The sequence below is a fragment of the Homo sapiens genome, chromosome 6 (assembly GCF_000001405.40).
Source record: "Homo sapiens chromosome 6, GRCh38.p14 Primary Assembly".
Classification (NCBI taxonomy): Eukaryota; Metazoa; Chordata; class Mammalia; order Primates; family Hominidae; genus Homo; species Homo sapiens.
This window is the reverse complement of record NC_000006.12, coordinates 30,696,046-30,717,395: the sequence shown is the minus strand read 5'-3', so window position 1 is coordinate 30,717,395 and position 21,350 is coordinate 30,696,046. Positions and strand designations below refer to the sequence as shown.

General features: G+C 48.5%; 1 protein-coding gene, 1 long non-coding RNA gene and 1 pseudogene across 19 annotated transcripts, besides 2 other annotated features; 2 read left to right on the top strand and 1 right to left on the bottom strand.

Annotated features, from left to right (window-relative positions):
• MDC1 (mediator of DNA damage checkpoint 1) lies at window positions 115–17,589 on the top strand. Of its 18 annotated transcripts, none has more exons than XM_047419582.1 (16): window positions 115–151; window positions 1,689–1,808; window positions 2,218–2,356; window positions 3,213–3,593; window positions 3,679–3,748; window positions 4,042–5,522; window positions 5,670–5,729; window positions 5,892–5,984; window positions 9,039–9,830; window positions 9,942–10,012; window positions 11,298–13,775; window positions 13,859–13,978; window positions 14,110–14,292; window positions 14,519–14,644; window positions 14,733–14,843; window positions 16,764–17,589. In XM_047419582.1, the coding sequence occupies exons 3-16, from the start codon at window positions 2,221–2,223 to the stop codon at window positions 16,929–16,931; spliced, it is 6,270 nt and encodes a 2,089-aa protein (XP_047275538.1). In that variant the 5' UTR covers window positions 115–151; window positions 1,689–1,808; window positions 2,218–2,220; the 3' UTR covers window positions 16,932–17,589. The 18 variants fall into 18 exon arrangements, with proteins under 18 accessions (XP_047275538.1, XP_047275540.1, XP_047275541.1 ...); XM_047419584.1 differs by lacking the exon at window positions 1,689–1,808 and adding an exon at window positions 313–358; XM_047419585.1 differs by lacking the exon at window positions 1,689–1,808 and adding an exon at window positions 313–514 and having other exon boundaries at window positions 5,895–5,984; window positions 9,039–9,260.
• Window positions 719–1,466: an enhancer, noted in NCBI's record as "H3K27ac-H3K4me1 hESC enhancer chr6:30683707-30684454 (GRCh37/hg19 assembly coordinates)". NCBI's record gives its function as "activates a minimal SCP1, AML or CMV promoter by ChIP-STARR-seq in naive H9 embryonic stem cells {active_cell/tissue: H9 hESC(naive)}" and the evidence as "EXISTENCE:reporter gene assay evidence [ECO:0000049][PMID:30033119]".
• Window positions 4,212–14,329, bottom strand: MDC1-AS1 (MDC1 antisense RNA 1). The gene is made up of 3 exons (NR_133647.1): window positions 14,203–14,329; window positions 4,971–5,084; window positions 4,212–4,708 (listed from the first exon to the last, which is right to left on the bottom strand). It is a non-coding gene; the product is annotated as an MDC1 antisense RNA 1 (long non-coding RNA).
• Window positions 16,375–16,876: an enhancer, noted in NCBI's record as "H3K4me1 hESC enhancer chr6:30668297-30668798 (GRCh37/hg19 assembly coordinates)". NCBI's record gives its function as "activates a minimal SCP1, AML or CMV promoter by ChIP-STARR-seq in primed H9 embryonic stem cells {active_cell/tissue: H9 hESC(primed)}" and the evidence as "EXISTENCE:reporter gene assay evidence [ECO:0000049][PMID:30033119]".
• On the top strand, window positions 19,860–20,650 carry RPL7P4 (ribosomal protein L7 pseudogene 4; annotated as a pseudogene).

Below are 21,350 nucleotides of genomic sequence, written 5' to 3'. Positions count from 1 at the left end.
GCGGGGCTTTGGGTGTGCCTCCGCTCGACTGGCTGCGGTTGTGAAAGACAGCGGCAGAAGCCAATCAGCAAATAAGCTCTTTTTCGGCACACGCAGTCGCTCCACCTGGGTCGCGACCGTTACTGGTGGCGCGCGCGGGGACTTAAAGTAGGTGAGTTCTAGGGGCCTGGCCCACGGCTCCCCGGGAGCCATCTTGGTTCCCCCAGAAGGCGGGAGGGGCGTACCTTGGGTGCGACTGGGCGGAGGTGACTTGGAAGTTCGCTTCTCGGACTGTAATACTCATCCTTACCTGGCGCCCCGCTCCGAGTTTAGGTATGAAGACACAGGGAGACGTCGGGCCACAAGGGAACCCACTGAGGTGGGGACCAAAGATGGTGGCTCTTTGAATTGGAGCCAAGCGTGGTGGGCACCCGCTGAGTTGGCCTGTCATAAAGACGGAGTTGACACTTTATCCATGGGGCATCCTACTTTCCCTACCTGTCAACAGTTTCCCTCTAGAGTGGCATATTTTCAGGTGAATTCCATTTATGCTATTTTCTTTCCATCTCATTTGTTCCTTCATCAGTAGGCTCGGTGATGAGCCTTCCCGAGGGCAGGGTCGATTTCATGTTTGGTTCACAGATGTATACCAAATACTTCAAACAGGTATACCATAACCATTGAATGAATATGATGGACCCTAGGGGAAAGACACGGTTCCCCTAATCCAGTCCTGGAGGTGGGTGAGTGTGAAGGCAGAAATGGAAAGTAATGGTTACAATATAGCGAGAGATCTTAGAGTAAGCACAAATCCATTGACCACTGTGGAACAGGCAGGATACACCAGGAACACGAGAAGGCAGGGAACACGCCAGGAAAGGGTTTGCTGAGAAAGTGACATTTGAGGCCGGGCGCGGTTGCTCACTGCTGTAATCCCAACACTTTGGGTGGCCAAGGTGGGCGGATCACCTGAGGTCAGGAGCTCGAGACCGTGGTGAAACCCCGTCTCTACTAAAAATACAAAAATTAGCCAGGCGTGATGCCGGGCGCCTGTAATCCCAGCTGCTCGGGAGGCTGAGGCAGGAGAATCGCTTGAAGCCTGGAGGCAGAGGTTGCAGTGAGCCAAGATAGCACCACTGCAGTCCAGCCTGGACGACAGAGCGAGATTCCATCTCAAAAAAAAAAAAAAGAAAGAAAGTGACATTTGAACTGAATCTTAAAGGATGGTAGAAGTTGGACCAGAAAACTAGGTGGGAAAAAGCCAAGGAATTGGGCTAAGGCATGAAGATGTGGGAAGACAAGAACAGTGTGTTCGAAGACTGGGGAAAATGTCTGGCTGAACCATAGGCTTTTGCGGGCGAGGGGTAGGCGTTACAAGATGTGAAGTTCAGATCATGGAGGGTCTCGCTAAGGAGTTTAGATTTTATTCTGTGTGCACGAAAAACCATCAAGATTTTAGAGGAGAGACATCTGAGTGATTTGGGGCAAGTCTTAACCTTATATATGCTTATGTATGTTTCAAGGAGATCTGAAAATCTTAACCCAGCTATGTTGCAGTTTCTTTATCTGAAGAAATGGAAGATAGTAATACTACTTTACAAGGTTCTTGTGAAGATTAAATGAGTCAGAGTCGATATAAAGTAATTAGAACAGTGCTTGACACATAGGAAGCTTCTATATATGTCATCTTTTATTATCATTTTTTGCAGTTGCATCTGATCAAACTGAGGTGGTCTGGTAAAAGTATAAAAAGCATGGGCTAAAAAAGAAAGAAAAACAACGGGGCGCAGTGGCTCACGCCTGTAATCCCAGCACTTTGGGAGGCCAAGGTGGGCGGATCACCCAAGGTCAAGAGTTCGAGTCCACCCTGGCCAATATGGCAAAACCCCATCTCTTCTAAAAATACAAAAATTAGCCAGGCATGGTGGCAGGTGCCTGTAATCTCAGCTACTTGGGAGGCTGAGGTGAGAGAATTGCTTGAAACCCGGGAGGCAGAGGTTGCCGTGGGCCCAAGATCTTACCACTGCATGCCAGCCTGGGGAGCAGAACGAGACTCCATCACAAAAAAGAAAAAAATGTTTTAAGTGCTTCAGAAGGTTAACAACAGAAAGATTGGTGGAAAGAGAAGCATCAACGTTCATAATGATCCAGTTTACCCCCTAGTTTTCAGTCTGATAACTCTGATGCTGTTTGTGTGAACCAATAATGAGGATAATTGATAATGTGTATCCTTCCCAGATCATGGAGGACACCCAGGCTATTGACTGGGATGTTGAAGAAGAGGAGGAGACAGAGCAATCCAGTGAATCCTTGAGGTGTAACGTGGAGCCAGTAGGGCGGCTACATATCTTTAGTGGTGCCCATGGACCAGAAAAAGGTCAGAGGGTATTGGATGTTCAAGTATTGATATAGATCTTTTATTTTTGTGGTAAGGTATTTGGAGGGTTGCAAGAAGCTTATGTATGTTTCAATGAGATGTGAATTTTTTTTTTTCATGAATGGAAGAGATGGGGCCGATTGAGTTGATAGTTGCAGACTACTACCCTGGACTCACTGGAAGTGATTTTACTTTGATAAAAGAAAATTAAGAGATTGAAATGAAGCTGGGTGCAGTGACTCACACCTGTAATTCCCGTGCTTTGAGAGGCCAAGGCAGAAGGATCACTTGAGACTAGGAGTTAGAGACCAGCCTGGGTAGCATAGCAAAACCCTGTCTCTACGAAAAATTTAAAAATTAGCCAGGTGTGGTGGTTCATTTCACATCTGCAGTCCCACCTACTTGGGAGGCTGAGCCAGATGATCACTTGAACCCAAGAGTTCAAGATTGCACTGATCTATGATCATGACACTGCATTCTAGCCTGGGTGACAGAATGAGACCCTGTCTCAAAAAAAAAAAAAAAATCAAATAAAATCCAATTGTGTGCTCTGGAGATGGATGGTAGTGATGATTGCACAACAGTGTGAATGCACTTAATGCCACTGAACTATACACTTAAAATTATTAAGGTGATACATTTTGTGTTATGTGTATTTTATAACAGTAAAAAAACATCCATTGTGGATGGATGGGGTATCGCATATACTCTTTCAGTGCCTAGATGTCCTAGGGCCTTTTATTTTTCTAATGCATATGGAGGCCTTGAGTGAGTAGTAGAGTACCTAATAGGCACTTTTTCCTAATGACAGGCCAGGACTCTGATCTTGGAGCTTATCTACCTCTCTAATTCTTAGATTTCCCACTACACCTCGGGAAGAATGTGGTAGGCCGAATGCCTGACTGCTCTGTGGCCCTGCCCTTTCCATCTATCTCCAAACAACATGCAGAGATTGAAATCTTAGCCTGGGACAAGGCACCTATCCTCCGAGACTGTGGGAGCCTTAATGGTACTCAAATCCTGAGACCTCCTAAGGTTTTGAGCCCTGGGGTGAGTCACCGTCTGAGGGACCAGGAATTGATTCTCTTTGCTGACTTGCTCTGCCAGTACCATCGCCTGGATGTCTCTCTGCCCTTTGTCTCCCGGGGCCCTCTGACAGTAGAAGAGACACCCAGAGTACAGGGAGAAACTCAACCCCAGAGGCTTCTGTTGGCTGAGGACTCGGAGGAGGAAGTAGGTAAGTTTGTATATTGGCAGGGAGAATGAGGAGACAGGAATAATGAGTGTACAATTGTCAACTCATTCCTTTCTGTTCTTGACAGATTTTCTTTCTGAAAGGCGTATGGTAAAAAAATCAAGGACCACATCTTCCTCTGTGATAGTTCCAGAGAGGTGAGTGCCAAAGAGTCAGACACCTGAGTCTTCAAAATGAGGAAGAACCAGGGGCTGGAGGATCAATCTCTAAAAGAGATGATTATCATGAGAGTTGGGGCTGGGGAACCATACATATTCATTCACTCAGCTGAATTTTTATGGAGCACATCTGATGTGCCAAGTGGAAAACAAATTGGAAACAGAAGAAGAAATATGCTACCTTGTGTCTCCCCTCAAGGAGCTCACAGTTGAGTTGGGGTATCCCTTCCAGGGAAATAAATTCTATAGACTCTCTTTTCTTCCCTTCACAGTGATGAAGAGGGGCATTCCCCGGTCCTGGGCGGCCTTGGGCCGCCTTTTGCCTTCAATTTGAACAGTGACACAGATGTGGAAGAAGGTCAGCAACCAGCCACAGAGGAGGCCTCCTCAGCTGCCAGAAGAGGTGCCACTGTAGAGGCAAAGCAGTCTGAAGCTGAAGTTGTAACTGAAATCCAGCTTGAAAAGGATCAGCCTTTAGTGAAGGAGAGGGACAATGATACAAAAGTCAAGAGGGGTGCAGGGAATGGGGTGGTTCCAGCTGGGGTGATTCTGGAGAGGAGCCAACCTCCTGGAGAGGACAGTGACACAGATGTGGATGATGACAGCAGGCCTCCTGGAAGGCCAGCTGAGGTCCATTTGGAAAGGGCTCAGCCTTTTGGCTTCATCGACAGCGACACTGATGCGGAAGAAGAGAGGATCCCAGCAACCCCAGTTGTCATTCCTATGAAGAAGAGGAAGATCTTCCATGGAGTAGGTACAAGGGGTCCTGGAGCACCAGGCCTGGCCCATCTGCAGGAGAGCCAGGCTGGTAGTGATACAGATGTGGAAGAAGGCAAGGCCCCACAGGCTGTCCCTCTGGAGAAAAGCCAAGCTTCCATGGTTATCAACAGCGATACAGATGACGAGGAAGAAGTCTCAGCAGCGCTGACTTTGGCACATCTGAAAGAGAGCCAGCCTGCTATATGGAACAGAGATGCAGAAGAGGACATGCCCCAACGTGTGGTCCTTCTGCAGCGAAGCCAAACCACCACTGAGAGAGACAGTGACACAGACGTGGAGGAGGAAGAGCTCCCAGTGGAAAATAGAGAAGCTGTCCTCAAGGATCACACAAAGATTAGAGCCCTTGTTAGAGCACATTCAGAAAAGGACCAACCTCCTTTTGGGGACAGTGATGACAGTGTGGAAGCAGATAAGAGCTCACCTGGGATCCACCTGGAGAGAAGCCAAGCCTCCACCACAGTGGACATCAACACACAAGTGGAGAAGGAAGTCCCGCCAGGGTCAGCCATTATACATATAAAGAAGCATCAGGTGTCTGTGGAGGGGACAAATCAAACAGATGTGAAAGCAGTTGGGGGACCAGCAAAGCTGCTTGTGGTATCTCTAGAGGAAGCCTGGCCTCTGCATGGGGACTGTGAAACAGATGCAGAGGAGGGCACCTCCCTAACAGCCTCAGTAGTTGCAGATGTAAGAAAGAGCCAGCTTCCAGCAGAAGGGGATGCTGGGGCAGAGTGGGCTGCAGCTGTTCTTAAGCAGGAGAGAGCTCATGAGGTGGGGGCCCAGGGTGGGCCACCTGTGGCACAAGTGGAGCAGGACCTCCCTATCTCAAGAGAGAACCTCACAGATCTGGTGGTGGACACAGACACTCTAGGGGAATCCACCCAGCCACAGAGAGAGGGAGCCCAGGTCCCCACAGGAAGGGAGAGAGAACAACATGTGGGTGGGACCAAGGACTCTGAAGACAACTATGGTGGTAAGTGCTGGCCTTCCTTCCTAGACCTCTGAAATCAACCAGGGTTCTAACAGCTGGGGTTGGGGAGAGAAAGGTAGAGATTATTTAAGGAGTTTAGTGTCAGGTATGATTTTTGTTTTAAACTGTCTTATATTCCTCCCCGACCAGATTCTGAAGATCTGGACCTACAAGCTACCCAGTGCTTTCTGGAGAATCAGGGCCTGGAAGGTGAGGACTTCTGTGTTATTTGAATCCTGTACCAGTGGGAGCTGGGAGATTAGACTGGTGGTCCTTGAAGGGTAAAGGCTAGTATGGGTAGGGTAGGAGACCAGGAATGGAACCCTACAGTAGTATGGAGGAGATGAACTTAGGCCATCTTTTCCTGTACAGCAGTCCAGAGCATGGAGGATGAACCTACCCAGGCCTTCATGTTGACTCCACCCCAAGAGCTTGGCCCTTCCCATTGCAGCTTCCAGACAACAGGTATAAGAAACTCTTCCCTCCTCTGTGTCCCCAATTCTGCATTCTCTTTTTTTTCCTCTGTCACTCAGGCTGGATTACAGTGGTGCAGTCTCGGCTCACTGTAACCTCCGCCTCCCAGGCGGTTTCTCTTCCTTCAGCTTCCCAGGTAGCTGGGATTACAGCTGTCCATGACCATGCCTGGCTAATTTTTTGTATGTTTAGTAGAGACAGGGTTTCACCATGTTGGCCAGGCTGGTCACAAACTCCCGACCTCAAGTGATCCGCCTGCCTCGGCCTCCCAAAATGCTGGAATTGCAGGCGTAAGCCACTGCGCCCGGCCTGCGTTCTTTCTTGATTTGCCTTCCTACATGTTTCTTTCATACTCTGATTACAGTGAGCCCTCTGTGTATGCGAGTTTGCGTCCGTGAATTCAACCAGCTGCAGGTTGAAAATATTTAGGGACTGGCCTGGGCAACAGAGAGAGACCTGGTCTCCACAAAAATGAAAAAATTAGCCCAGCATAGTAGTGAGCACCTGTAGTCCCAGTTACATGGGAGGCCAGGATGGGAAGATCAGTTGAGCCCAGTCTGGGCAATAGCCCATCCCTCAACCCCCACCCCCAATGTCTCTTAAAAAAAACACACACACACTATTGCAGCACTGTTCACAATAGGCAGATATGAAATCAAACTAAATGTCCATCAACAGATGAATGGATAAAGAAAATGTAGGCCGGGGTCGGGCACAGTGGCTCACACCTCTAATCCCAACACTTTGGGAGGCCAAGGCAGGCAGATCACCTGAGATCGGGAGCTTGAGACCAGCCTGACCAACATGGAGAAACCCCGTCTCTACTAAAAATACAAAATTAGCCGGGTGTGGTGGTGCATGCCTGTAATCCCAGCTACTCAGGAGACTGAGTCAGGAGAATCCCTTGAACCCAGGAGGCAGAGGTTGCAGTGAGCTGAGATTGTGCCATCGCACTCTGGCCTGGGCAACAAGAGTGAAACTCTGTCTCAAAAAAACGAAAGAAAAGAAAATGTAGGCCGGGCACAGTGCCTCATGCCTGTAATCCCAGCACTTTGGGAAGCCGAAGTGGGTGGATCACATGAGGTCAGGAGTTTGAGACCAGCCTGGCCAACATGGTGAAACCCTGTCTCTACTAAAAATACAAAAATTAGCTGGGCATGGTGGCAGGTGCCTGTAGTCCCAGCTACTCGGGAGACTGAAGCAGGAGACTCATTTGAACCCCGGAGGCAGAGGTTGCAGTGAGCCAAGGTCACACCACTGCACTCCAACATGGGCAACAGAGTGAGACTTCATCTCTAATAATAAAAAAAAAGAAAATGTGTATATAGGCTGGGTGCAGTGGCTCAAAATACAAAATTTAGCTGGGCATGGTGGCATGCACCTGTAGTCTTAGCTACTCGGGAGGCTAAGATGGGAGGATTGCTGCCTAAGACGCAGAGGTTGCAGTGAGCTGAGGTCATGCCACTGCACTCCAAACTGGGTGACAGAGCAAGACTCAATCTAAAAAAAAAAGAAAATGTGTATATATACACAGTGGAACAGTATTCAGCAACAGAAGAGAATGAAATCCTGTCATCTGCAGCAACATGGATGAACCCTGAGGACATTATGTTAAGTGAAATAAGTCAGCACAGAAAGGCAAATATTGTATGCTCACTCATGTGGGAGCTAAAAACATGGATCTCATGGAAGTAGAGAGTAGAATGGTGGTTACCAAAGGCTAGGAAGGGTAGAGGGACAGAATGCATAAAGAGGTTGGTTAATGAATACAAAAATCCAGTCAGATTGAATGAATAAGTTCTAGTGTTCAGTTCCACAGTAGTGTTACTATAGTTAATAATTTATTGTGTATTTCAAAATAGCTAGAAGAGATTTGATATGTTTCCAAGACAAAGAAATGATAAATGTTTGAGATAGTGGATATCCCAATTATCTTGGTTTTATCATTGTACATTGTATGCATGAGTCAAAATAGCACAGGTACCCCATAAATATGTACAATTATTATGTGTCAATGAAGAAAAAAGAAAATGTGGTATATATACACAGTGGAATACTATTCAGCCTTTAAAAAGAAGGAAATTCCAGCCAAGCATGGTGGCTCACACCTGTAATCCCAGCACTTTGGGAGACCAATGTGGGTGGATCACTTGAGTCTAAGAGTTCAAGACCAAACCCCATCTCTACAACAAATACAAAAAATTAGCCGGGCACTTTGGCACATGCCGTAGTCCCAGCTACTTGGGAGGCTGAGGTGGGAGGATCTCCTGAGCCCAGCAGTTGGGAGTTGCAGTGAGCCAACATCATGCCACTGCACTCCAGCCTGGGTGACAGAGTGAAACTGTCTTGAGAGAGAGAGACTATTCAGGGAACTCTCTTATTAGGCTATGATGTTTTTCTTTCTTTCTTTCTTTCTTTCTTTTTTTGAGACAGGGTCTCTGTCACTCAGGCTGGAATGCAGTGGTATGATGAGAGACTATTCAGGGAACTCATATTAGGCTATGATGTTTTTCTTTTTCTCTTGGGTTTTTTTTTTTTTTTTTTTTTGAGACAGAGTCTCTGTCACTCAGGCTGAAGTGCAGTGGTATGATCACAGCTCACTACAGTCTTGACCTTTGGGGTTCAAGTAGTTCTCCTACCTCAGCCTCCCGGGTAGCTGAGACTACAGGACTACAGGTCCCCGTCCCCACACCTAATTTTTTTGTATTTTTTGTAGAGATGGGGTTTTGCCATGTTGTCCAGGCTAGTCTCAAACTCCTGGCCTCAAGCAATCCTCATGTCTTGGCCTCCCAAAGTCCTGGGATTACATGTCTGAGCCACCATGCCCGCCTAAGGCTATGACCTTTTTGAGACAAACGTTAAATGTTATAACTACCACCCTTATTCCCAGCTTACCTTTAATAACCTGTTCAGATTTATTATTCATGAGTTTATCTAAATCCTTTCTCATCATATTTATTATGTCAACCTGTACTTCCCTTTCCCTCTTCCTCTCCCTCTTTTCTCTCCCTCTCCCTCTCTCTCTCTTCCTTCCTCCCCTTCCAGGTACCCTAGATGAACCATGGGAGGTCCTGGCTACACAGCCATTCTGTCTGAGAGAGTCTGAGGACTCTGAGACCCAGCCTTTTGACACGCACCTTGAGGCCTATGGACCTTGCCTGTCTCCACCTAGGGCAATACCAGGAGACCAACATCCAGAGAGCCCAGTTCACACAGAGCCAATGGGGATTCAAGGCAGAGGGAGGCAGACTGTGGATAAAGTCATGGGTATACCAAAAGAAACAGCAGAGAGGGTGGGCCCTGAGAGAGGGCCATTGGAGAGAGAAACTGAGAAACTGCTACCAGAAAGACAGACAGATGTGACAGGAGAGGAAGAATTAACCAAGGGGAAACAGGACAGAGAACAAAAACAGTTGTTAGCTAGAGACACCCAGAGACAAGAATCTGACAAAAATGGGGAAAGTGCAAGTCCTGAAAGAGATAGGGAGAGTTTGAAGGTAGAAATTGAGACATCTGAGGAAATACAAGAGAAACAAGTACAGAAGCAGACCCTTCCAAGCAAAGCATTTGAGAGAGAAGTAGAGAGACCAGTAGCAAACAGAGAGTGCGATCCAGCCGAGTTAGAAGAGAAGGTGCCCAAAGTGATCCTGGAGAGAGATACACAGAGAGGGGAGCCAGAGGGAGGGAGCCAGGACCAGAAAGGGCAGGCCTCCAGCCCAACACCAGAGCCTGGGGTGGGGGCGGGGGACCTTCCGGGACCTACCTCAGCCCCCGTACCTTCTGGGAGCCAGTCAGGTGGAAGGGGATCCCCAGTGAGCCCCAGGAGGCATCAGAAAGGTAAGTGAAGGCAGAGGGGAACCCAAGGTGATACACAGGCCTCGTGATAATCAACCCCTGGGCAACCAGCTGCTTGGAACTCAGCCACCTTTGTGTTTACTTTCTGTCTAGGCCTCCTGAATTGCAAGATGCCACCTGCTGAGAAGGCTTCCAGGATCAGAGCTGCTGAGAAGGTTTCCAGGGTGAGAGCTACTTTTTCTACCTCCTATTCCACAAGTCATCTCTATATCTTCTCCAATGCTCTTTCACCTAGCCTCACTTTAATCTATTCCTTTCTCATTATTCAGTTTTCTTCCATTTTTGTCACGCCTTGATTGGCTTCTATTCCTTTATCCTCGGCACCCGTTGTTTTCCATATCTGTTTCCTAAGTTGTATCTCCTACCTGACTCAAAAGAAAGACCCTTCGTGTTTCTTCTTTCTTTGCCCCAGCCATCCTTTTCCTTACCATCATCCACGTGTGGAGAACACTATAGTAGCATTATGGAGACAGGTCTGTGGGAAAAAGGTAGCTTCCCAGGTAGATCCCAGTCTAATGGAGGAGAGATCATAGACAGAAAGGAAAATCCAGTGAGCATATTTTTTGTTTTTGTTCTTTTTTGAGACAGAGTCTGTCTCTGTCACCCAGGCTGGAGTGTGCAGTGGCGTGATCTCAGCTTACTGTAACCTCCGTCTCTTGGGTTCAAACAATTTTCCTGCCGCAGCCTCCCAAGTAGCTGGGACTACAGGCGCATGTCACCCGGCTAATTTTTGTGTATTTTTTTGTTTTTTTTGAGACAGTCTCACTCTGTCACCCAGGCTGGAGTGCAGTGGCGCGATCTTGGCTCACTGCAACCTCTGCCTCCCGGGTTCAAGCGACTCTCCTCCCTCAGCCTCCCAGGTAGCTGGGACTACTAGGCGCCTGCCAACACACCTAGCTAATTTTTTTTTTTTTTTTTTTTTTTTTTAGACAGAGTCTTGCTCTGTCCCCCAGGCTGGAGTGCAGTGGCACCATCTCGGCTCACTGCAAGCTCCGCCTCCCGAGTTCACGCCATTCTCCTGCCTCAGCCTTCCAAGTAGCTGGGACTACAGGCGCCCGCCACCACGCCCGGCTAATTTTTTGTATTTTTTAGTAGAGACGGGGTTTCACCGTGTTAGCCAGGATGGTCTCGGTTTCCTGACCTTGTGATCCACCCGCCTCGGCCTCCCAAAGTGCTGGGATTACAGGCATCAGCCACCATGCCTGGCCTTTTTTTTTGTATTTTTAGTAGAGACGGGGTTTCACTATGTTGGCCAGGCTGGTCTTGAACTCCTGACCTCGTGATCCGCCCGCCTCGGCCTCCCAAAGTGCTGGGATTATAGCCGTGAGCCACCACGCCCGGTGGAAATCTGGTAAGCCTATCTAACCATAAACAAGTATCAAGAACAGTATCCAAGTTCTATCTCTTTTCTCCACCTCCTCCCCCTCACTTGCTTCTGTTTCTCCCTAGGGCGATCAGGAATCTCCAGATGCTTGTCTGCCTCCTACAGTACCTGAAGCCCCAGCCCCACCCCAAAAGCCCCTTAACTCTCAGAGCCAGAAACATCTTGCACCTCCGCCCCTTCTTTCTCCCCTTTTACCTTCTATCAAGCCAACCGTTCGTAAGACCAGGCAAGATGGGAGTCAGGAAGCTCCAGAGGCTCCCTTGTCCTCAGAGCTGGAGCCTTTCCACCCAAAGCCTAAAATTAGAACTCGGAAGTCCTCCAGAATGACACCCTTTCCAGCTACCTCTGCTGCCCCTGAGCCCCACCCTTCCACCTCCACAGCCCAGCCAGTCACTCCCAAGCCCACATCTCAGGCCACTAGGAGCAGGACAAATAGGTCCTCTGTCAAGACCCCTGAACCAGTTGTCCCCACAGCCCCTGAGCTCCAGCCTTCCACCTCCACAGACCAGCCTGTCACCTCTGAGCCCACATCTCAGGTTACTAGGGGAAGAAAAAGTAGATCCTCTGTCAAGACCCCTGAAACAGTTGTGCCCACAGCCCTTGAGCTCCAGCCTTCCACCTCCACCGACCGACCTGTCACCTCTGAACCCACCTCTCAGGCTACTAGGGGAAGAAAAAATAGATCCTCTGTCAAGACCCCTGAACCAGTTGTCCCCACAGCCCCTGAGCTCCAGCCTTCCACCTCCACAGACCAGCCTGTCACTTCTGAGCCCACATATCAGGCTACTAGGGGAAGAAAAAATAGATCCTCTGTCAAGACCCCTGAACCAGTTGTGCCCACAGCCCCTGAGCTCCGGCCTTCCACCTCCACAGACCGACCTGTCACCCCCAAGCCCACATCTCGGACCACTAGGAGCAGGACAAATATGTCCTCTGTCAAGACCCCTGAAACAGTTGTCCCCACAGCCCCTGAGCTCCAGATTTCCACCTCCACAGACCAACCTGTCACCCCTAAGCCCACATCTCGGACCACTAGGAGCAGGACAAATATGTCCTCTGTGAAGAACCCTGAATCAACTGTCCCTATAGCCCCTGAGCTCCCACCTTCCACCTCCACAGAGCAGCCTGTCACCCCTGAGCCCACATCTCGGGCTACTAGGGGAAGAAAAAATAGATCCTCTGGCAAGACCCCTGAAACACTTGTCCCCACAGCCCCTAAGCTCGAGCCTTCCACTTCCACAGACCAACCTGTCACTCCTGAGCCCACATCTCAGGCCACCAGGGGCAGGACAAATAGGTCCTCTGTGAAGACCCCTGAAACAGTTGTCCCCACAGCCCCTGAGCTCCAGCCTTCCACCTCCACAGACCAGCCTGTTACCCCTGAGCCTACGTCTCAGGCTACTAGGGGAAGAACAGATAGATCCTCTGTCAAGACTCCTGAAACAGTTGTCCCCACAGCCCCTGAGCTACAGGCTTCCGCCTCCACAGACCAGCCTGTCACCTCTGAGCCCACATCTCGGACCACTAGGGGAAGAAAAAATCGGTCCTCTGTCAAGACCCCTGAAACAGTTGTGCCCGCAGCCCCTGAGCTCCAGCCTTCCACCTCCACAGACCAACCTGTCACCCCTGAGCCCACATCTCGGGCCACTAGGGGCAGGACAAATAGGTCCTCTGTCAAGACCCCTGAATCAATTGTCCCTATAGCCCCTGAGCTTCAGCCTTCCACCTCCAGAAACCAGCTTGTCACCCCTGAGCCCACATCTCGGGCCACTAGGTGCAGGACAAATAGGTCCTCTGTCAAGACCCCTGAGCCAGTTGTCCCCACAGCCCCTGAGCCCCATCCTACCACCTCCACAGACCAGCCTGTCACCCCCAAGCTCACATCTAGGGCCACTAGGAGAAAGACAAATAGGTCCTCTGTCAAGACTCCCAAACCAGTTGAACCAGCAGCCTCTGATCTTGAGCCTTTTACCCCCACAGACCAGTCCGTCACCCCTGAGGCCATAGCTCAGGGTGGTCAGAGCAAAACACTGAGGTCTTCCACAGTAAGAGCTATGCCGGTTCCTACCACCCCTGAATTCCAATCTCCTGTCACCACAGACCAGCCTATTTCCCCTGAGCCTATTACTCAACCCAGTTGCATCAAGAGGCAGAGAGCCGCTGGGAACCCTGGCTCCCTCGCAGCTCCCATTGACCATAAGCCTTGCTCTGCACCCTTGGAACCTAAATCCCAGGCCTCAAGGAACCAAAGATGGGGAGCAGTGAGAGCAGCTGAATCCCTTACAGCCATTCCTGAGCCTGCCTCTCCCCAGCTTCTTGAGACACCAATTCATGCCTCCCAGATCCAAAAGGTGGAACCAGCAGGTAGATCTAGGTTCACCCCGGAGCTCCAGCCTAAGGCCTCTCAAAGCCGCAAGAGGTCTTTAGCTACCATGGATTCACCACCACATCAAAAACAGCCCCAAAGAGGGGAAGTCTCCCAGAAGACAGTGATTATCAAGGAAGAGGAAGAAGATACTGCAGAGAAGCCAGGGAAGGAAGAGGTGAGGAGAGGGTTGGGACCACAAAGCTGGGAAAAATGACTTCAGGGCTCTGAAACTCCCACCAAGATTTTTCTCAATCTCAGGATGTCGTGACTCCAAAACCAGGCAAGAGAAAGAGAGACCAGGCAGAGGAGGAGCCCAACAGAATACCAAGCCGCAGCCTCCGACGGACCAAACTTAACCAAGAATCAACAGCCCCCAAAGTAAGAGACAAAGGCATGGGACTTTGTGGGAGACAGAGATGAGGGGAGGATGCAAGGAGACCTAGAGGATTGTAGAGATGGGTGCTGATGGCATGGGTTGCCGTAACCACCTCAGGTCAACCCTTCCACAGGTGCTCTTCACAGGAGTGGTGGATGCTCGGGGAGAGCGGGCTGTGCTGGCACTGGGGGGAAGTCTGGCTGGTTCAGCGGCAGAGGCTTCCCACCTGGTCACTGATCGCATCCGCCGGACAGTCAAGTTCCTGTGTGCCCTGGGGCGGGGAATCCCCATTCTGTCCCTGGACTGGCTGCATCAGGTGAGAGGCCAAGGGATGATGACAGACCGATATAGTGGCAAGACTGCTCATATAGTGCCCTAGAAAGTGGTGGAAGGGAAGAGGCGTTACAGGAAGACAGGGGCATTGGTGAGCCAGAAGCCTGCATTGATTTAAAAGACATTTTGTGAGCTCTCTCTAAATGCTAGGCAGCAGAGCTGATTGAGGGGCTGGGCTGAGCTTTGATGCTGACTGCTGCCGTCCTTAGTCCCGCAAGGCTGGTTTCTTCTTACCCCCGGATGAATATGTGGTGACCGACCCTGAGCAAGAGAAGAACTTTGGCTTTAGCCTTCAAGACGCACTGAGCAGGGCTCGGGAGCGAAGGCTGCTAGAGGTGAGAGGCTATCTTTTAACCTGTGCTTCAGCCCTCCCTCCAGTGCTTCCCAATCTACAATACCATCTCCATCATTTCTTTCTCTTAGGGCTATGAGATCTATGTGACCCCTGGAGTCCAGCCACCACCACCTCAGATGGGAGAGATTATTAGCTGCTGTGGAGGCACATACCTACCCAGCATGCCTCGGTCCTATAAGGTATGCTTAGGATGTTCTGGGTCTGGGTGAGGTGGCAGTGGCAGTTAAAGAGGTGGCTGGAATGGCAAAGATTGGAGGGAAAAAAATGGAGGTTCAGAAAGGAATATAAAGTAGTGAGAGGGTGGGGGAAAAGACCTATGGTATAGAAAGGGATAGGAATGAGGGGACAGATCTGCTGATACCCCCATATAACAATCACCGAGATTCAGCAGCAGCTTAATTTAGATTATGCTACATTTGCTCCATCTATCCCTTTTTTCCTTTGATTTTCTTTTTTTTTTTTTTTTTTTTTTTTTGAGATGGAGTCTCACTCTCAGGCTGGAGTGCAGTGGCACAATCTCGGCTCACTACAATCTCCGCCTCCTGGGTTCACACCATTCTCCTGCCTCAGCCTCCCGAGTAGCTGGGACTACAGGTGCCCGCCACCACGCCCGGCTAATTCTTTTGTATTTTTAGTAGAGATGGGGTTTCACTGTGTTAGCCAGGATGGTCTTGATCTCCTGAGGTCATGATCTGCCCGCCTCGGCCTCTCAAAGTGCTGGGATTACAGGCGTGAGCCACCGCGCCCGGCTTTTTCCTTTGATTTTCTTTGCTGAAGTATTTCATTTCTTTTTATTTTTCTTTATTCTTTCTTTTTTTCCTTTCTCTTTCTTTGCTGAAATATTTTAAAGCAAACTGCCAATATTATATTATTTCTTCCTACATACTTAAATATATATCTCTAAGAAATACGTACATTTTATTTCATAATCACAATGCCATTATTGATCCTAAGCAAAATTAACAGTAGTTTATTGGTCATTTGCTCACACTCCATTAATAAAATTTCTCCCATTGTCTGAAAAATGTCTCTATACAGTTGTTCAAATCAGGATTCAAATAAGGTCCACATACTGCCACACCTATTATCTTCTTAATTATCTTTACTCTAGAGCATCCCTTAACCCACCCAGCTTTTTTTATGCCATCTATTTCCTGCAGAAGCTGGGTCACTTGTCCTTTAGAATGTTCCTCAGTCTGGAATTTTGGGTTTGCCTCCTTGTCATATAATTTATCTTGTTCCTCTGTACTCCATATTTCCTGGAAATTGCAGATAATTGTAAAAGCTTGAATAAATTCAGGTTCATCTTTCTAGCAAAAGTATTTTTTTTTTTTGAGAGAGTCTCACTCTGTCGCCAGGCTGGAGTACAGTGGAGCAGTCTTGGCTCACTGCAACCTCCATCTCCCGGGTTCAAGCTGTTCTCCTGCCTCAACCTCCCGAGTAGCTGGGACTACAGGCGCACACCACCACGCCCAGCTAATTTTTTTATTTTTACTAAAGACGGGGTTTCACCATGTTGGCCAGGATGGTCTCGATCTCTTGACCTCGTGATCCACCCACCTCGGCCTCCCAAAGTGCTGGGATTATAGGCGTGAGCCACTGTGCCTGGCCTCTAGCAAGAGTATTTCTTTTTTTTTTTTCTTTTTTTTTTTCTTTTGAGATGGAGTCTTGCTCTGTAGCCCAGGCTGGAGTGCAGTGGCGCGATCTCGGCTCACTGCAAGCTCCGCCTCCTGGGTTTTCACGCCATTCTCCTGCCCCAGCCTCCCGAGTAGCTGGGACGACAGGCACCCGTCAGCGCGCCCGGCTAATTTTTTTTTTTTTTTTTTTTTGTATTTTTAGTAGAGACAGGGTTTCACCGTGGTCTTGATCTCCTGACCTCGTGATCCACCCGCCTCAGCCTCCCAAAGTGCTGTGTAATTACAGGCATGAGCCACTGCGCCCGGCCTAGCAAGAGTATTTCATAGACAGTATGCGGTGTGCTTCACTTGGCTTCATATTAGGAGGTATTATTTTAGTGATGGTAAGACTGGTTAGTGGGTCCTGAACCCATTTCTAGGATTCTTTTTCACCTGATTTTGCCTTTGCTCTGTCTTCCCCAGCCTCAGAGAGTTGTGATCACATGCCCTCAGGACTTCCCTCATTGCTCCATTCCACTACGGGTTGGGCTGCCCCTCCTCTCGCCTGAGTTCCTGCTGACTGGAGTGCTGAAGCAGGAAGCCAAGCCAGAGGCCTTTGTCCTCTCCCCTTTGGAGATGTCATCCACCTGAGAACTCCACTACCCTTTTCCCTCCCAGACCACGAATTAGAAGATATGTGGAAGAAAGAACTCAGGGCGTTAGAAAGGATTGGGGTATATTGATACAACTTGTCCTGGAACATGGGTGGGACCAGAAATCTTTATGAATAAATGAAAAGATAAGGGATTTGGAAGCCACAGGTTGTTTTTTGTTTGTTTGTTTGTTTTTTTAATGGCCATTTTATTTTATTTGTATTTATAGTTTTTTATTTGTATAGATTTAGGGGATACAAGATTTCTTACATGCATGTATTAAATGGCCATTTTAAAATTAGCTAGTTTCATGCTCAGATGTCATAAGTGGCAGCTATCTTTAGCCAGACTGTTGCAGTTATTGCTCGATGCCACTCATGGTGTCCTACCTCCTATTTGGAAACCATCTCTATTTTTTTCTTACTGAGATTCTTACTTTGGGGTCAGGAACTTGAAGGGATGCTTGGAGTGAGTAGATTTGAGGGTCCAGTTATGGAGTGCTACTAAAACATTTTCTTCTCTCCTGGCCTCTGGAAGCATCTTTAGCTTTGACTTTGGGCAAGTCTCTGTACTTTTCTGGCCAGCTTTTCCAGGATTTATAAAATTAGAGCTTCGGCTTGACCTCTGTGATAAATAAATATTCACTCTGTGCCTTATGGTGTAGTGTAGTTTTTTAAAATGTCTAGGTCTCAAGACACAAACTTAAAAAAAAAAAAGTCATAGACTTGTATTTAATTCATCATTATCTTCTATTTAGGACAATTTGTATGACATTTCTTAAGATTTTTTTTTTTTTCTTGAGACAGGGTCTCATCTCTGTCACCTAGGCTGGAGTGCAGTGGCACCATCTTGGCTCACTGCAACCTCCACCTCCCAGTTCAAGCAATAGTCCCACCTCAGCCTCCTGAGTAGCTAGGACTGCAGGCACACACCACCATGCCTGGCTAATTTTCTTTTTTTTATTGTTTAGTAGAGACGGGGCTCTACTAAATTTTTGTATTTTTGGTAGAGATGAGGTTTTGTCATGTTGCCCAGGCTGGTCTCTAACTTCTGACCTCAAGTGATCCACCCACCTCAGCCTCCCGAGTAGCTGGGATTACAGGCACATGCCACCACACCCGGCTAATTTTTGTATTTGTAGTAGAGACGGGGTTTCACCATGTTGGCCATGCTGGTCTCGAACTCCTGACCTCAGGTGATCCACCTGTCTTGACTTCCCAAAGTGCTGGGATAACAGGCATGAGCCGCCATGACTGGCCTTTTATCTTTTTGAGTCAAGGTGTCACTCTGTTGCCCAGGCTGAAGTGCAGTGGCTCGATGTCGGCTTACTGCAGCCTTGACCTCCTGGGCTCAAACGATTTTCCTCTCAGCCTCCCAAGTAGCTGGGACCATAGGTGTGTGCAACCATGCCCGATGAATTTTGTATTTTTGGTAGAGACGAGGTTTTGTCATGTTGCCCAAGCTGGTCTCTAACTCGTGACCTCAAGTGAGCCACCCACCTCAGCCTCCAAAAGTGCTGGGATTACAGGCTTGAGCCACCGTGCCCAGCCAGATTTAAATTTTAAAAGTTGGTTGATTACAAGGATGTGGAGAAATTAGAATCCTTATACATTGCTGGTAGGAATGTTAAATGGTTCAGCCTCTGTGGTAAACAGTTTGATGGTTCCTCAAAAAGTTAAACATATGGATGGGCACAGTGGCTCACACATGTAATCCCAGCACTTTGGAGGCCAAGGCTGGCAGATCACTTGAGCTCAGAAGTTCACGGCCAGCCGGGCAACATGACAAAACCTCGTCTCTACCAAAAATACAAAAATTCACTGGGCATGGTGGCACACACCTATGGTCCCAGCTACTTGGGAGGCTAAGAGGAAAATCGTTTGAGCCCAGGAGGTCAAGGCTGCAGTGGGTGGACACGAGCCACTGCACTTCAGCCTGGGCAACAGAGTGAGACCTTGTCTCAAAAAAATAAAAGGCCAGTCACGGCAGCTCATGCCTGTAATCCCAGCACTTTGGGAAGTCAAGACAGGTGGATCACCTGAGGTCAGGAGTTAGAGACCAGCCTGGCCAACATGGTGAAATCCCGTCTCTACTTAAAATACAAAAATTAGCCGGGCGTGGTGGCATGTGCCTGCAATCCCAGCTACTTGGGAGGCTGAGGCAGAAGAATTGCTGGAACCCGGGAAGTGGAGGTTGCAGTGAGCTGAGATCGTGCCACTGCACTCCAGCCTGGGCAACAGAACAAGACTCCATCTAAAAAAAAAAAGGCCAGGCGTGGTGGCTCACCCCTGTAATCCTAGCACTTTGGGAGGCCAAGGTGGGCAGATCACAAGATCAGGAGATTGAGACCATCCTGGCTAACATGGAGAAACCCCGTCTCTACTAAAAATACAAAAAATTAGCTAGGCGTGGTGGCAGGCGCCTGTAGTCCTAGCTACTCGGGAGGCTGAGGCAGGAGAATCGCTTGAACCCGGGAGGTGGAGGTTGCAGTGAGCCAAGACTGCTCCACTGTACTCCAGCCTGGCGACAGAGCGAGACTCCCTCTCAAAAAAAAAACAAAAAAAAAAAAGTAGCCTCTTTTCTGGCTGGAACCCTCATGTAGAGTGTTGTAGATAAGAAGGAGAGGGCCGGGGTGCAGTGGCTCACACCTGTAATCCCAACACTTTGGGAGGCCGAGGTGGGCAGGTCACCTGAGGTCAGGAGTTCAAGACCAGGCTGGCCAACATGACAAAACCCCGTCTCTACTAAAAATTCAAAACAAAATTAGCCGGGCATGGTGGCCAGCCCCTGTGATCCCAGCTACTCAGGAGGCTGAGGCAGGAGAATTGCTTGAATGCAGGAGGGGGAGGTTGCATTGAGTCGAGATCGCACCATTGCACTCCAGCATGGGAGACAGAGCAAGACCCCGTCTTAAAAAAAAAAAGAGAGAGAAAAAGAAGGAGGTTCTTGCTATGCCAGAAACCCTTAAAAAGCGAAGGAATTTCCCAGAGCTGAAGATCAAAGGCCCGAGAAAGAAATTTGCCCAAAAGATGATTCAAAAGGCAAGGAGGAAGCTTATCTATGAAAAAGTGAAGCACTATCACAAGGAATATAGGCAGATGTACAGAACTGAAATTCGAATGGCTAGGATGGCCAGAAAAGCTGGCAACTTCTATGTACCTGCAAAACCCAAATTGCCGTTTGTCATCAGGATCAGAGGTATCAGTGGTGTGAACCCAAAGGTCCGAAAGGTGTTGCAGCTTCTTCGCCTTTGTTAAATCTTCAGTGGAACCTTTGTGAAGCTCAACAAGGCTTCAATGAACATGCTGAGGATTGTAGAACCATATATGGCATGGGGGTACCCAAAGCTGAAGTCAGTAAATGAACTAATCTACCAGCATGGTTATGGCAAAAATCAATAAGAAGCAAATTGCTTTGACAGATGACACTTTGATTGCTTTATCTCTTGGTAAATATGGCATCACCTGCATGGAGGATCTGATTCTTGAGATCTATACTGTTGGAAAATGCTTCAAAGAAGCAAATAACTTCCTGTAGCCCTTCAAATTATCCTCTCCACAAGGTAGAGTAAAGAAAAAGACCACCCATTTTGTAGAAAGTGGACATGCTGGCAACAGGGAGAACCGGATCAACAGACTTATTAGAAGAATGAGCTAAGGTGTCTACTGTGATTGTTTTTCTAATCTAAGCACTTAAGCAGTACCTGCTCTCAAATTGGAGGAAAAAAAAGAAAGTTAAATACGGAATTACCGAACAGTCCAGCAATTCTGCTCCTAGGTGTACACCCAAAAGAATTTAAATCAGGTGTCCAGGCTGGGTGGGGTGGCTTATGCCTATAATCCCAGCAGTTTGGGAGGCCAAAGTGGGAGGATTGCATGAGCCCAGGACTTCACGGGCAACCAGTCTGGGCAACATGGCAAAACCCTGTCACTACAAAAAATACAAAAATGGGCTAGGTGCGGTGGCTCACGCCTATAATCCTAGCACTTTGGGAGGCAAGGTGGGTAGATCACCTGAGGTCAGGAGTTCAAGACGAGCCTGGCCAACATGGCAAAACCCCATCTCTACTAAAAAATACAAAAATTAGCCGGGTGTGGTGGCTCATGCCTGTAATCCCAGCATTTTGGGAGGCCGAAGGTGGTTGGATCACCTGAGGTCAGGAGTTCGATACCAGCCTGACCAACATGGAGAAACCCGTCTCTACTAAAAAATACAAAATTAGCTGGGCGTGGTGGTGCATGCCGGTAATCCCAGCTACTCCGGAGGCTGAGGCAGGAGAATCACTTGAACCTGGGAGGTGGAGATTGTGGTGAGCCAAGATCATGCCGTTGCAACAAGAGCAAAACTCCGTCTAAAAAAAAAAAAAAATTAACTGGGCCTGGTGGCTCACGCCTGTAATCCCAACACTTTGGGAGGC

Excerpts from the sequence above, each read along its gene's own strand:
- MDC1 (XM_047419580.1), top strand. The coding sequence starts at position 455 with ATGGGGCATCCTACTTTCCCTACCTGTCAACAGTTTCCCTCTAGAGTG. Across the intron at positions 515-2,217 it reads CTAGAGTGGCATATTTTCAG|ATCATGGAGGACACCCAGGC; the intron begins GTGAATTCCATT and ends TATCCTTCCCAG. Across the intron at positions 2,357-3,212 it reads TGCCCATGGACCAGAAAAAG|ATTTCCCACTACACCTCGGG; the intron begins GTCAGAGGGTAT and ends TCTAATTCTTAG.